The sequence below is a fragment of the Homo sapiens genome, chromosome 15 (assembly GCF_000001405.40).
Source record: "Homo sapiens chromosome 15, GRCh38.p14 Primary Assembly".
NCBI lineage: Eukaryota > Metazoa > Chordata > Mammalia > Primates > Hominidae > Homo > Homo sapiens.
The window spans coordinates 76,734,747-76,751,634 of NC_000015.10; the positions used below are offsets into that span (position 1 = coordinate 76,734,747).

At 35.9% G+C, this 16,888-nt stretch overlaps 1 protein-coding gene and 1 pseudogene across 30 annotated transcripts in view; one reads left to right on the forward strand and one right to left on the reverse strand.

The window, feature by feature from the left end:
* SCAPER (S-phase cyclin A associated protein in the ER) overlaps positions 1-16,888 on the reverse strand; it is a 557,437-nt gene that overhangs the window by 386,843 nt on the left and 153,706 nt on the right. Inside the window, exon 1 of one of the 30 annotated variants that reach the window (XM_011521656.4) lies at positions 4,556-4,665. The exons of 28 other annotated variants lie outside the window; for them this stretch is intronic. In XM_011521656.4, the coding sequence (XP_011519958.1) occupies positions 4,556-4,579 (24 nt within the window). In that variant the 5' untranslated portion in view covers positions 4,580-4,665. Of the gene's footprint in view, positions 1-4,555; positions 4,692-16,888 lie in introns of those variants that run through there. One more of the 30 variants, XM_047432634.1, reaches the window with a different exon arrangement.
* RN7SKP217 (RN7SK pseudogene 217) lies at positions 1,895-2,133 on the forward strand (annotated as a pseudogene).

The following is a 16,888-nucleotide window of genomic DNA, read 5'->3' on the forward strand; positions in this document are numbered from 1 at the left end:
CACCTAATCCCAGCTACTCAGGAGGCTGAGGCAGAGAACTGCTTGAACCCGGGAGGTAGGGGTTGTAGTGAACCAAGATCGCACCACTGCACTGCACTCCAGCCTGGGCGACAAAGTGAGATTCCATCTCTCTCTCTCTATATATATATATATGATAAACAAGTATGCTCAAGGAAACTTTATTCAGACTATATCATAAACATAATCAAAATGAAAGAAAAAGTAATGGGACCTAATACACTAAGCAAAATTTTTACAATAAAATAAAACTCACAAGGGAAAGAGTATGCAAAAGTCAGATTAAACAACTCAACCTTGGCAGGGTGCAGTGGCTCATGCCTGTAATCCCAGCACGTTAGGAGGGCCGGGCAGGAGGATTGCTTGAGCCCAGGAGTTCAAGATCAGCCTGAGCAATGTAAAATGACTATCTCTATTAAATATAAATATATACAGATAGATAGATATAGATATATATATTTAGCCAGGTGTGGTGGCATGCAACTATAGTCCTAATTACTTGGGAGGCTGAGGTGAGAGGATTGCTTGAACCCAGGAGTTAGAGGCTGCAGTGAGCCATGATCGCGCCACTAAACTCCAGTTTGGGCAACAGAGTGAGACCCTGTCTCATTTAAAAGAACAGCAACAATTTGGAAGAAAATAATAACCTGTGGTCAGGCACGGTGACTCACACCTATAATCCCAGTACTTTGGGAGGCCGAGACAGGCAGATTGCCTGAGCTCAGGAGTTTGAGACCAGCCTGGCCAACACAGTGAAACCTCATCTCTACTAAAATACAAAAAAAAAATTAGCTGGGCGTGGCAGCATGCCCCTGTAATCCCAGCTACTTTGGAGGCTGAGGCAGGAGAATCGCTTGAACATGGGAGATGGAGGTTGCAGTGAGCCAAGATTGTGCCACTGCACTCCAGCCTAGGCAACAGAGACTCCGTCTCAAAAAAAAAAAAAAAAGAAAGAAAAAAAGATAAGAAAAGAAAATAACCTAACAAACAGCAGAAAATTCATTAGACAAACTTGGTAGCACTGAAGAATTTGACAAAAACATGAATTTAAAGAAGCAAAGGAAAGATGATAAAACAACATACAGTAGTATGTCCTTATCCACAGGGAATACATTCCAAGACCCCTGGTGGATGCCTCAAATCACAGACAGTACCTATATAGTCAGCCCTCCATATCTGTGGGTTCTGCATCCATGGATTCAATCAACCATAGATAAAAAATGTTTTTTAATGGGTGATTGTGTTTGTACTGAACATGTACAGGCATACCTCAAAGATATTACAAGTTTGGTTCCAGCCCACCACAATAAACTGAGTATCGCAATAAAGGAAGTCACATGAATTATCAAATTTCCCAATGCATATAAGTTATTTTTACACAATACTATGGCCTATTAATTGTGCAACAGCATTATGTCTAAATAAACAATGTACGCACCTTAATTCTAAAACACTTTTTCTAAAAAATGCTAATGAACATTCGAGCCATTAGCAAGTTATAATCTTTTTTTCTGGTGGAGAGTCTTGCACTGATGTTGATGGCTGCTGACTGATCAGGGTGGTGGTTGCTGAAGGTTGAAGTGGCTGTGGCAATTTCTTAAAATAGGACAACAACGAAGTTTGCCACATTGATGGACTCTTCCTTTCCTCAAAGATTTCTCTGTAGTATGTGATGCTGTTTGATAGCATTTTACCCATAGTAGAGTTTCTTTCAAAATTGGAGTCAATGCTCTCAAAACCCTGTTACTGCTTTATCAATTAATTTTATGGAATATTCTAAATAATTTGTTATTTCAACAATGTTCACAGTATCTTCACCAGGAGTAGTTTCCATCTCAAGAAACCACATTATTTGCTCATTCATAAGAAATAACTTGGATGTGAGGGGGATCTGGCTGTAACATCTGTCACCCCATTGATCGCCAGGGTTGATTCAGCTGATCTGGCTGGCTAAGCGGGTGTCCCCTTCCTCCCTCACCGCTCCATGTGCGTCCCTCCTGAAGCTGCATGCTCGGTCAAAGAGGATGACCATCCCTGATAGAGGAGGACTGGTCTTTGATCAAGGAATATGAGTAGCTGTGCTCCCCTGCTAGAATCTCCAAACAAGTTCTCAAGAGGTATCTCGTTTATTTAATTTTTGTCATAAGACTGCAGCAATTCAGTCACATCAGCAGGCTCACTTCTAATTCTCATACTCTTGCTGTTTTCACCACATTTGCAGTTGCTTCCTTAACTGTCCTCTTGAACCACCAAAAATCATCTGTGAGGGCTGGAATCAATGTCTTCCAAATTCCTGTTAATGTTGATATTTTGACTTCCTCCCATGAATCACAAATGTTCTTAATGCCATCTAAAATGGTGAGTCCTTTCCAGAAAGTCTTAATTTCCTTTGCCCAGATCCATCAGAGGAATCACTATCTATGGCAGCTATAGCTTTATAAAATGTATTTTTTAAAAACTAAGATTTGAAAGTTGAAATTACTCCTTGATCCATGGACTGCAGAGTGGATGTTACGTTAGCAGGCACGAAAACACTATTCATCTCCTTGTGCTCTCTCCATCAGGGCTCTTGAGTAACCAGTGCATTGTCAGTAAGCAGTAAAATTTTGAAGAGTCTTCTTTTCTGAGGTGGAGGTCTCAACAGTGGATTTAAAATATTCAGTAAACAATGCTATAAACAGATGTGCTGTCACGCCAGCTTTGTTGTTCCATTTATAGAGTATAGACAGAATAGATTTAGCCTAATTCTTAAAGGGCCTAGAATTTTCACAATGGTTAAGGAGCATTGGCTTCAACTTGAAGTCACCAGCTGCATTAGCTCCTAATAAGTGAGTCAGCCTTGACTTTGAAGATTTGAAGCCAAGCTCTGAATTCTCTATAGCTATGAAAGTCCTAGATGGCATCTTCTTCCAAGAGAAGGTTCTTTCATCTGCATTGCAAATCTCTTGTTTGGTGCAGCAGTCTTCATCAATTATCTTAGCTAGATCTTCCTTCAGCTTCTACGTCAGCACTTATTGCCTTACCTTGCACTTTTATGTTATTGAGACGGCTTCCTTCCTCAAACCTCAAGAATCAACCTCTGCTATCTTCAAACTTTTCTTCTGCAGCTTCCATACCTCTCTTAAACTTCACAGAATTGGAAGTAGTCGGGATCTTACTCTGGATTAGGCTTTGGCTTAACGGAATGTTGTGGCTGGTTTGATCTTCTATCCAGACCACTCGAACTTTCACCATATCAGCAATAACCTGTTGTGCTTTCTTATCATTCATATGTTTACTGAAGTAACACATTTAATCTTTCTCAAAACTTTTCCTTTGCATTTACAACCTGACTGACTAGCATAAGAGGCCTAGCTTTCAGTTTATCCCAGCTTTATTTTTTTCTTTTTGTTTTTCAAGACTGGGTTTCACATCACCCAGGCTGGAGTGCAGTGGCTCACTGCAGCCTCACACTCCTGAGCTCAAGTGATTCGTTCACATCAGCCTCTTGAGTGGATGGGACGATAAGCATGTGCGACCACATCTGGCTAATTTTTAAAATGTTTTGGTAGAGATGGGGTCTTGCTAAGTTGCACAGGCTCTAGCCCAGTTTTTGACAAGCCTTCCTCAATAAGCATTATCATTTCCAGCTTTTGATTTAAAGTGAAAGATGTAAAACTCTTCTTTCACTTGAAGACTTAGAGGCCACTCGTGAACCCGGGAGGCGAAGCTTGCAGTGAGCCGACATCACGCCACTGCACTCCATCCAGCCTAAGCAACAAAGCGAGACTCTGTCTCAAAAAAAAAAAAAGACTTAGGAGGACACTGTATGGTTATCGATTAATAACCAATTAGCCTAATATCAATGCTGCTGTGTCTCAGGGAATAAGGAGGCCTGAGGATAAGAAATGGGGGAATGGCCAGGTCAGTGGAGCAGTCAGAACACACAAAACATTTATCAATTAAGTTTGCTGTCATATATGAGTGTGGCTCATGGCACCCCAAAACAATTACAATAGTAACTCCAAAGATCACTTATCACAGATCACCATAATAAATATAATAATTAAAAAATCTAAAATATTATGAGTCACCAAAGTATAACACAAAGACATGAAGTGAGCACGTGTTGTTGGAAAAAATGGCAAAAATAAAGACTTTGCTTGATGCAGGATTGACACAAACATTCAATTTTTTAAAACTCAGTAAGTATCTTTGAAGCCCAATAAAGTGAAGCAGAATAAAACAATGCATGCCTGTACAGACATTTTTTCTTGTCTTTAACCCCTAAATAATACAGTAGAATAACTATTGCACAGTATCTACATTGTATTAGGTATAAGTAATCTAGAGGTGATTTAAAGTATACAGGAGGATGTGCATAAGTTATATGCAAATACTATATCATTTTATACATGGGATTTGAGCAACCATCAATTTTTGTATCTTCAAGAGGCCCTGAAACCAATCCTCCACAGATACTGAGGGATGACTACATACATTGTACAAATTTATTTTTCCTTCTTCACAATGTCACAAATAGAAGATTCATTCTTACCACTGATTTCAGTAACCTCAGCATAAGATTTCTTTCCTTTCCTTAGTAAGTTGAGAACTTTCACGCTTTCATTTAAAGGAAGCACTTTACAACTTCTGTTTGGCATATCCAAATTGCTAGCATCACTCTTCTTGTGCTTTGGGACCATTAAATAAAATAAAGGTTATGTGAACACAAGCACTGTGATACCATGACACTCCACCTGATAACCAAGATGGCTACTAACACACCAATGAGCAGATAGCATATACGGCATGGATATACTGGACAAAGGAATGATTTACGTCCGGGACATAACTATACAAGATTTCACCATGGTACTCACAACAGTACACAATCTGAAACTTATGAATTGTTTATTTCTAGATTTTCCATTTCCTATTTTTGGACTGTGATTGACGAGGGTAGATGAAACCACAAAGACCAAAACTGCAATTAAGGGAGGACTACTGTCTTATTTGATAAAGGTGATTCGTGAGCTAAGGAAACAAACAGAGTACAAAAGTAACACTATCACAGAATTACTTAAATTAGAAAATGCATGGTACAGAACAGATAGTGTAAAAACCAACCCCAAATAATGGGCCAGGCACAGCTGCTCACATCTGTAATCCCAATGCTATGGGAGGCCAAAGCAGGAGGATCACTTGTGACCAGGAGTTCGAGACCAGCCTGGGCAACATAGCAAGACCTCCATCTCTACAAATTTAAAAAATAAGTCAAATTTTGTGGCACATGCCTATAGTCCCAGCCACTCAAAAGACTGACTCAGTAAGATCACTTGAGACCAGGAGTTCAAGGCTGTAGTGAACTATGATCATGCCACTGCACTTCAGCCTGGGTGATAAGAGTGACACCCTGTCTCTACTTAAATTACTTCTAGAGGAAAAACTTTTGATAATCACAGTTATTGTAGATTTTTACAGTGAAGATGAATAGATAATAAGCCTTGAATACAGAGAACATGACAAAATGACCTAATATAAAGATAAAGATAAACAGTATCTATGTAGCTAAGAAAGGCAACAGAAAATATTCCAACATAAAATACAGGAAATGTTTAAAGATTAAGAGAGCTTACATTACTTCATAAAAAATTGACTCAGAACATCACCATCAAGAATATCCTTATTAAATCATAAAACATTAAGAAAGAACAATAATTTTTCAAGCTTCCATGCAGTAAATGTAAGTCACCTACAAGAAAGAAAATTCAGTGTAGACTCGGCCTTCCCCACAGAAATAACTAAGATAATGGAATAATGTCTTGAAGTTCTGAAGGAGAGATATTGTGAATCATAAATATGATCTCAAACCAACATATAATTCAGGTAGAAATGCCACAGGCCTAAAATATGTAAGAACTCAAGGGACAGAGCATATATGAGCTTTTCCTAGAAAAAAGTTTTTTTCTTAATAAAATCCAGCAAACCAAAAGATAAAACAACTCATAAATGAAGAATTGGTAAGCAATGAGTCGATTTACATATATAAGGAAAACTAAACTGAGGAATTTAAAGTTACAGAGGAAAACATAAATTTGATCAACTTTAACAAGAGAAAAATAATAAAACTATGAATAATTATTGTGGAAAGATTAGGATGATATACGAGTGCTAATTTTCTCATCTCTTTTTAGCAAGGGTTCCCTAAAAATGTTCAGAAATTAAAATGAAATTGAATAAATACAACTCCAAACTCTCAATACGTTTCATATTTTATTATCTCAAAAAATTCTTATGAGAATGAATTCTTGTGATTAACACGATAAACTCAAGAATTTCCTCAATTTCACTTCCATTTCATCTCCTTCCCTTAAAATGGAACTAAAATAAAGATTAATACATCTTACTACGAAGTATCATGTATAGCATAATTCTATTTTATAAGATTATCCATTCATGCAATCTGAATATAATAATAGGAAAATGTCTGAAACAGTGTCTACCTAATGTTAATGGTGGCTATTTCTGAGGGTGGGATTGAGTTTCCTTTGCTATGTTGCTTAAATTCTTCAAAATAAAAATGAATCACTTTTAAAATAAAAATATGGCCACTATTTTAAATACAATATAATATTAAAGAAATCTAGAGTAATGGATTTATACTTAGGCTTGAAGACCATAAAAAGTCCCTGAAGGTTTTTGGCCTGAGAGGCATTACAATACCCTCCAGAAAGATTAATCTGGAGGGAGGAGGAACAAAAGGGAAGAATATCAACTGTAAATATTTAGGAGGGAGATAAAAATAAACTGGTGGCAGCTGCAATGGAAAATGTAGCTGCCTACAGAGTTAGAGAACTGCAGGTGTATGTATACATAGGACTCCAAAGAAGATGTCAGAAAAAATCAGCCTATCTTTCTGGCTGATACACAAAAAGTTGTCAAGAAGAGATTAAAAAGAAAAGTGAAATGAAGTAAATGAATACAAGTTTTCCAAATCTAGGTTAATGGGTGACTAGTTATTATTATCATTATCTGAAATATGGAATTCAGTAAAGCAGTTGGTTTGGGATAAAGGAGATGGTGAGCTGATGAGTTCCACTCAATACAAGCACCAAACAATAGGCAATTGAGTCTAGAGCTCAGTTGAAGGTAGGGCTAAAGATTCAGATTTAGAAATCACTGCAGAGAAGACACTGAAGCAATGGTAGTGACTGTGATACTAAAAAAGAAGAGTAAGTGAAGTGAAACTTCATTTTTCAGTTACGTTTAACTAACAAAATAAAGAAGGGAAGACAGTAAAGGATTGGTTAGAGAGTAGAGAGAAAATTAAGATAGTGCAGAAGTTTTCTAGAAAAAGATGCCTGATGGTGTTCATATGAAGTGACTCAGAAAAGTCTTTTAAACTCAGTGAAAACAGAGAAATATTCTCAAAGGCAAATATAGTTGCAGAAAGGGGAAAATCATATAAGGAATTAAGGAAGACATGGGTGATCGGTATTAGAAACAAGCTCAGGCCACTATTTCTCAGAAATTTGGGGATTTACAAAAGTACAAAATAGGTAATCTATAAAACAGGTGTACAAAAGTAGGTAATCTAGAGGAAGAAAGCAAAGGACCAGGCACAAGAATTTAACTGATAAAAAAAAACAATTCCAAGAGCAGCAAAGGGGACAAAAATAGGACCCACAGCACAAGGAATAAGAAACAGGTGTCTTTTCCTAAAAAAAAAAAAAAAAAAAAAAAAAAAAGAATAAAAATAAACAGCAGTTATTGCTAGACATGCTGCAACTGAAAATGAGTCAATGAGACCATCAAGAAACTGAAAATGAAAGTCAATATTAGACTATTAAATAATGGACTATGATCTAATATAAAATCAGGTTTTGAATAACTCAGGCTGCAATATTAATCACCATCAACAGAATACTAGCTAACTTATTTTCAATCACCAATCTACCTAAGAAAGAACTAAAGGATTTGAAATGGCCATTAATTTATCCCAAGGACTCATAAAAAGCATACATGGAAAAAAAACATCTTGAGTATGTAACAGGACTAAAATGGTACATGGTCTCAAGGAAAGTACACTTATAGTAAAATTTAAATTAAAAAAATTACTGGATTATTAGTACTTTTTGATTAGTAACAGAACAACAGAAATACATGAGACTTCAGAAAAAAATAAGTAGAACATTTCTTCTATAATTCTAATATTTTACTAAGTGCTTTTGTTATAACAAAGATGACATTAACTGCTTCACAACATGCATAATCTAACTTAATACTTACAATAATTGACATGTAGGTAAAATTATTCCAATTTTAAAGATGAACAAATAGGCTCAGAGAGGTAAAATAATACCTAAGGATATTCAGCTACTAAGTGGTGGAGTCAGAACCGAAGTCCAAGTTTATCTAACTCAAGAGACTTCGGTCGTCACTATGATAATAAAAATACTTTTGAATAAGGAAAAAAATACCATGTCTATTTTCTTTGTAGAAATGGAATACATGTCCAGACAGGATTTCACAGTTTATTGAACTGAAAATGGTGACAACTGAGAGCACCAACAGGTGGGCAAGTGGTAGCAAGGTTTTAAAACAGTATTTACATTAGCAAGAATTTTAGTACAGACTCTTAATTCACTTATCATGAATTATTCTGCCAAAAGGGTACTGAAACTGATAAGCTGTTCTGGCAAGGTTTCAGGATATAAAAATCAATGTACAAAAATCAGTAGCATTTCTATCCACCAATAATGCCCAGGAAAACAGTCAAATCAAGAACACAATACCATACAAAATAGCCAAAGAAAATGGAATACCTAGGAAAATACAGCTAACCAAAGAGGTGAAAGAACTGAACAAGGAGAATGACAGAACACTGCTGAAAAAAATCAGAGATGACACAAACAGAAAAACATCCCATGTGCATGTATTAGAAGAATCAGTATCATTAAAATCGCCATAAGCAATTTACAGATTTGATGCTATCCTATCAAACCACCAGTGGCATTCTTCACAAAATTAGAAAAAAAACTATTCTAAAATTCGTATGGAACCAAAAAAGTGCCCCAATAGCCAAAGCAATAGTAAGCAAAAGGAACAAAGCTTGAGGCATCACATTACCCGACTTCCAACTATGCCACAAGGCTACAGTAAACAAAACAGCATGGTACTGGTACAAAACAGACACACAGACCAATGGAACAGAACAGAAAATTCAGAAATAAAGCTGCACATCTACAACCATCTGATCTTCAACAAGGTCAACAAAAACAAGCAATGGGAAAAGGACTCCTTCTTCAATAAATGGCACTAGGATAACTGGTTAACTATATGCAGAACAACAAAACTAGACCCTTACTTTTAACTACATACAAAAATTGACTTAAGATGGATTAAAGATTTAAATGTAAGGCCTCAAACTATAAAAATCCTAGAAGAAAACCTAGGAAATACCCTTCTTGACATCTGCTTGACAAGTCAATTTTGGCTGTATCTCCAAAAGTAATTGGAACAAAAACAAAAGTTGACAAGTAGGGCCTAATTAAGCTAAAAATCTTCTGCACAGCCAAAGAAACTATCAACAGAGTAAAAAGACAACCTACAGAATGGGAGACAATATTTGCAAACAATGCATCTAACAAAGTCTAATATCCAGGATATATAAGGAACTTAAATCAACAAGCAAAAAAACAAATAACCCCATTTTTAAAAATGAGCAAAAGACATGAATTGACATTTCTCAAAAGACATACAAGTGTCCAACTAACATGAAAAAATTCTTAGCATCATTAAGCATCAGAGAAATACAAATCAAAATCACAATGAGATACCATCTCACACCAGTCAGAATGGCTATTATTAAAAAGTTAAAAAACAAGAGATGCTGGCAAGGCTACAGAGAAAAGGGAACGCTTATACACTGTTGGTGGGAATGTAAATTAGTTCAGCCACTGTGGAACGCAGTGTGGCAATTTCTGAAAGAACTTAAAACACAGCTACCATTTGACCCAGCAATTCCATTACTGGGGATATACCCATTGGAAAACAAATTATTATACCAAAAAGACATGTGCAGTCATATGTTCATTGCCATGCTATTCACAATAGCAAAGACATGGAATCAACCCAGGAGTCCATCAATAGTGCCTATCGATAGACTGGATTAAAAAAAATGTGGTACATATACAACATGGAATACTACGCAACCAAAAGAAGAATGAAATTGTATCCTTTGCAGCAACATAGATGGAACTGAAGGCCATAATCCTAAGTGAATTAATGCAGGAACAGTAAACCAAATTTTCTCATTTGTAAGTGGGAGCTAAACAATAAGCACATATGGACATAAACATGGGAACAATAGATACTGCAGACTACTCGAAGTAGAGAGGGAAGGGAGAGAAGGTTAAAAACTACCTAGTGACCTGTAATCCCAGCACTTTGGGAGTCCGAGGTGGGTGGATCACCTGAGGTTAGGAGTTCAAGACCAGCCTGGCCAAAATGGTGAAACCTCGTCTCTACTAAAAAATAAAAAAATAAAAAAATTAGCCAGGCGTGGTGGCGTGTGCTTGTAATCTCAGCTACTCGGGAGGCTGAGGCGGGAGAATGGCTTGAACCCGGGAGGCAGCTGTGTCAGTGAGCTGAGATTGCACCACTGCACTCCAGCCTGGGTGACAGAGTGAGACTCCATCTCAAAAAACAAAACAAAACAAAACAAAGCAAAACAAATTTGCCTATGGAGTACTATGCTCATTACTAGGGTACAATATATCCATGTAACAAACCTGCACATGTACCCCATGTATCCAAAATAAAAGTTGGAATTTTAAGAAAAAGAATTAAAAGAACTATAAATGGTAGCTGATCTCCTCATGTAAAGATAGCCAGGAGTTGACCATCCATCTCTATGGAAATTATTTAAACTGTGATAAATAATTAGCTTAATTTGCTTATAAAAGTCACTTTGGCTTAATAAAATCATATTGAAAGTAAGTATATCAAGCAATTAGACAAGTCAAAATGTATGTAAGTCATATGACAAAATATCACAAAATGAGAATACTAAAGTAATAAGTACAGTGATAAAATCAAAGCCTTTGGAACCAGAAAGATCTGGATTTAATTCTGCCTTTCTGATCATCAATAATCTACCTTCAGACTGTCCCTCGAAAACAAAAAGATAAAAATACTAATAATACATAGATCAGAAATTCCACTTCCAGCCATAAGTAACAGGATGAGATTTACCCTTGCACTTTAAACAACAAAATTGGACAAATATACAAAATATCTAAATTCAATTAATGTAATACACCAGATCAATAGAACAGGGACAAAAAATATAGTGTAACAGCAATAGATGGAGAAGAAGCATTTGACAAAATCCAATATCCCTTCATAATAAAAATACTCAACAAACGATGAATAAAAATGAACTTCCTTGACCTGATAAAGGACATATAGTTGTCCCTCAGTATCCATGGGGGATTGATTCCAGGATCCACCATGGATACCAAAATCCATAGATGCTGAAGTCCCTTACAGTTGATCCTCTGCATTCACGGATTCAATCACCTATTGATTAAGCTGCAGGTGGTTGAATCTGCACATGCAGAACCCACAGATACCAAGGCTCAACTGTATATGAAAACTCTACACTTAACATCATACTTGATGAAAGATTAAATACATCTAGGAAGATAAGGAATAACAAATGGATGTCTACTCTCACTACTTCTATTCAACAATATACTATAGGTTCTAGCCAGAGCAATTAAACAAGAAAAAGAAATCAAAGACATCCAACTGGAAAGCAAAAGCAAAACAAACTATATTTGCAGACTATGTGATCTTGTTTATGAAGAATCCAAAAGAATTCACTAAAAAGCTATTAAAACTAATGAAGGAGTTCAAACAAGATTACAAGACATAAGATCAATATATAAAAATTGATTGTGTGTCTACACATTAGCAATGAATAATCAAAAATGAAATTAAGATAACAATATCATTTATAATTGCATCCAAAAGAACACTTACAAATAAATTTAAACAAAGCAGTGAAATACTTGTATGTTAAAAACAAAACAATGCTGAAAGAAATTAAAGAAGACAAATAAACAGAAGGAAATTCCACGTTCATAAATGAGAAGACTAATATTGTTAAGATGGTAATACTACTCAAAAGGATATAAAGATATGTAATCCCTAACAAAACGCCAACAGGCTTTTTTGCAGATACGAAAAACCAAACCTCAATTCACATGGAATGGCAAGGTACACTACATTGGTACATCATGTTTGGTGGGGACAGGGATAACAAAGTTGGAGGACTCACTGTTCCCATTTCAAAGCTTACTAAAAAGCTACAGTAATCAAAATAGTGTGGTACTGGCATAAGGACAGACATACAGACTGCAATGGTTTGGCTGTCTGTCCCTTCAAACCACATGTTGAAATGTGATCTGGCCAGGCATGGTGGCTCACACCTGTAATCCCAGCACTTTGGGAGACCAAGGTGGGCAGATCACAAGGTCAAGAGATCAAGACCATCCTGGCCAAAATGGTGAAACTCCATCTCTACTAAAAATACAAACATTAGCTGGGTGTGGTGGCGTGCACCAGTAGTCCCAGCTACTCAGGAGGCTGAGGCAGGAGAATCGCCTGGACCCAGGAGGCAGAGGTTGCAGTGAGCCAAGACCACACCACTGCACTCCAGCCTGGGGACAGAGTGAGACTCTGTCTCAAAAATATATATATATATGTAATCAATATGTGAAACACTAATTGCCAATGTTGGAGGTAGAGGCCTAATGGGAAGTGTTTGGGTCATGGGAACAGATCCCTCATGAATAGATTAATGCCCTCAGGGGAGAGGGGTGAGTTCTGCTATATTAGTTCCTGCAAAAGTTCCCTCAAGAGCTGGTTGTTTCCAAGAGTGTGGTACCTCCCTCCTCTCTTACTGCCTCCTCTTTCACGATGTGATCTGCACATGCTGGCTCTCCTTCACCTTCTGCCATCAGTGAAGTCAGCCTGAGGCCCTCACCAAAAGTAGATGATGGTGCCATGCTTCTTGTACAGCCTACAGAATAGTGAGCTAAATAAACCTCTTTTCTTTATAAATTACCCAGCCTCAAGTATTCCTTTATAGCAACACAAATGGGCTGAAACAGACCAATGAGAGGGTCTGTCTCTTCAACAAACGGTGCTGGGAAATATGGATATTCTTTTTTTTTTTTTCCTTTTTTTTTTTGAGACGGAGTTTCGCTCTTGTTGCCCAGGCTGGAGTACAATGGCGTGATCTTGGCTCACAGCAACCTCCGCCTCCCGGGTTCAAGCCATTCTCCTGCCTCAGCCTCCGGAGTAGCTGGGATTACAGGCATGCGCCACCATGCCGCGCTAATTTTGTATTTTTAGTAGAGACGGGGTTTCTCCATGTTGGTGAGGCTGGTCTCGAACTCTGGACCTCAGGTGATCTGCCCACCTCGGCCTCCCAAAGTGCTGGGATTACAGGCGTGAGCCACCGCGCCTGGCCGAAATATGGATATTCTTATGCAAAAGAATTAAGTTGAACCCCTACCACAGATCATACACAAAAATTAACTCAAAATGTCTTTACAATTTAAATATAAAAATCTAAAATCACAAAATCTTAGAAGAAAACAAAGAGGTAAATCTTCATGATCTTGGATTTGATAATTATTTCTTAGCACCAAAAACTAAGCAACAAAAAAAGAGAAATACACTGGAATTTGACAACATTAAAAACTTTTATGAAAAGAACATTATCAAGAAAGTGAAAAGGCAACTTGCAAAATTAAAGAAAATATTTGCAAATCACAAGTTTCATAAGGATCTAGTATCCAGAACATACAAGGAACTCGTATAACTGAACAACAAAAAGACAAACTGCCCAGGTAAAATGTGAGCAAAGGATTTTGAACAGAGATTTTTTCCAAGAAGATATACAAATGGCCAAAAAGTACATGAAAAGATGCTCTACAGTATTAGTCTTTGGGGAAATAGATAAATTTCTTGAGTGACACAAATTATATAATAGAAACAGATAATAGGAATAGCTCTATGTAAATTAAAGCAATAAAACTTTTAGGCAAAAATCTTCCCACAAAGAAAACCCCAGACCCAGATAGCTTCCTTGGTAGATTTTACAAGAAAAAAAAAATTAAACAATAAATTGTATCAATTCTACACAAACAACTCTAAAAAAATTGAAGATGATAGAACCCTTCCTAAATCACTTTACAAAGCCAGCATATCCTGTTACCAAAACCAAAGACATTACAAGAAAAGAAACTACAGAACACCCTCGGTCATGAACACTGATGCAAAAATTCCTAAAATTTTAGCAAATCAAATTCACCAATACACAAAAATGATAATATACTATGAATACATAAGGTTTATCTCAGAAATGCACGGTTGGTTTAATATTTGAAAATCAAGCAGTGAAATTCATCATTAAAAAAAAAATTTAATGGTATCTTAATTGACAAAACACCATGTGAACAATTTTAAAGTCCAATCATGGTAAAGATTTTCAGTAAACTAAGACTAGAAAGAAATTTCCTCAATTTGATAACAAACATCTATGAAATGTCTATAGCTAATATTGTACTTAATGGTGAAGAGTAAATGCTTTTCCCCTGAGACTGGGAACAAGAAAAGATGTCAGCTCTCTTCACAACTACTCAACACTGCAGTAGTCCCAGCTATTGCAATAAAAGGAGATAAAAAATAAAAAACATACAGACTGGAAAGAAAGAAATAACAATAGACCTAATAAGTGAGTTTACTAGCAAGGTTGTAAAACACAAGGTACATATACAGAAATCAACTGCATTGCTATGTATTAGCAATCAACAGAAAAAAATTAAAACAAAATATCATTGAATATACCATCAAACATATGAACTACAGATAAATTTCACAAAACAGATGCAAAGGCCAGAATCTAAATAAATTGAGATATATGTCATGTTCATGGAAAGAAATGCTCAATATCATTAAGATGTCAATTCTCCTCCAAATTAATCCATAAATTCAATGCAAACCCAATTTAAACCCAGATAGGCTTTAAAAAATATTTTTGTAGAAATTCAAAAGCTGATCCTGTAACTTATATGGAATACAAAGGATCTAAAATAGCCAAAATAGCTCAGAAAAAAAACAACAAAGCTTATGGACTTGTACTTCCTGATTTCAATTTATTATAAAGGTACAACAATCAAGATAGAGTGGTACTGGTATAAAAACAGGCACAAGAGATAAAGTAAACAGAATCAAGTTAGAAAGAAAACTCACATATTCATGGCCAATTCATTTTCAACAATGTTATTAAAGCAATTCAATGTAAAAAGAACAGTCTTAAACAACTGGTGCTGGAACAGTACATATCCATATGAAAAAAAAAAATCTCAACCCTAACTCATAATACAGACAAGTACAAAACCTACAAAGACTAAATCAAAAAAATTTAGAAAATATGAATAGACTTACAACTAGTAAGGACATTGATCAGTAATTTAGAAATCTCCTAAGAAAATCCCTGGACCTGATGGCTTTATGGGTGAATTCTATCAAACACTTAAAGAACTGACACCAATCCTTCTCAAACTCCAAACAATTGAAGAGGAGGGAATACATCCTAACTCATTCTATCGGGCCAGCATTACCCTGATACCAAAACCAGACAGAAACTACAAGGAAAAAACTATAGACCAATATCCTTTATCAATATTAATGCAAAAACTCTCAACAAAATACTAGTGAAGCATATTAAAAGGATTATACACCATGACCAAGTGGGATTTATTCCTGGAATGGTACAACATATGAAAACTGGCCAATGTAACATTACACATTAACAGAATTAAAGAGGAAAAAAACACACAGTCTCAACTGATGCAGAAGAAAACATTTGACAATTCAACATCTTTCATGATAAAAAACAACAAACTAGGAACAGAACAAACTCAAAAGCTATGTATGAAAAAACCTCAACAAATATCATATTCAATGGTAAAAGACTGAAAGCTTTTACTCTGATATCAGGATCAAGATAAAGATACCTGCTTTCACCACTTTTATTTAAGGTAGCACCAGAAGTTCAAGCCAGAAAAATTAGGAAAGTAAAAGAAATAGTGCCCAAATTTAGAAAGTAGTAAGATTATCTTTGTTCACAGATGATATGAACTTATATGTAGAAAACACTTACAGATTCCACCAAAAAAAATTGTTAGAAGTAGTAAAAATTCAGTAAAGAAGCAGGATACAAAGTCAACACACAAAAATCAATTGCATTTCTATACACTAACAAGGAACAATCTGAAAAGGAGATCATGAAAACAACTCCATTAACAATAGCACCAAAAATAATAAAATACTTAGTAATTAACCATGGAGGCAAAAGACACATACAATAAAAACTATAAAACATTATTGAAAAATTAAAGACAACACAAATAAATAAAAAATTATCCCATGATCATAAACCAGAACACTTAATATTGTTAAGATATCAACAATACACAAAGTGATGTACAGATTCAATGCAATCTTTACCAAAATTCCAATGATGACTCTGCAGAAACAGAAAAGTCCACCCTAAAATTCATATGGAATCTCAAGGGACCCCAAATAACCAAAACAATTTTGAAAAAGAACAACAAAATTGGATGACTCCCACTTCCTAATTTCAAAACTTACAACAAAACTACAATCATGAAAACAGTATAGTACTAGCACTAAAACAGACATATAGACCTATGGAATAGAACACGGGGCTAAGAAATAGACCCTCACAGATATAGTCAAATAATTTTTGACAAGGGTGCCAAGATAATTTAATGGACAAAGAAAA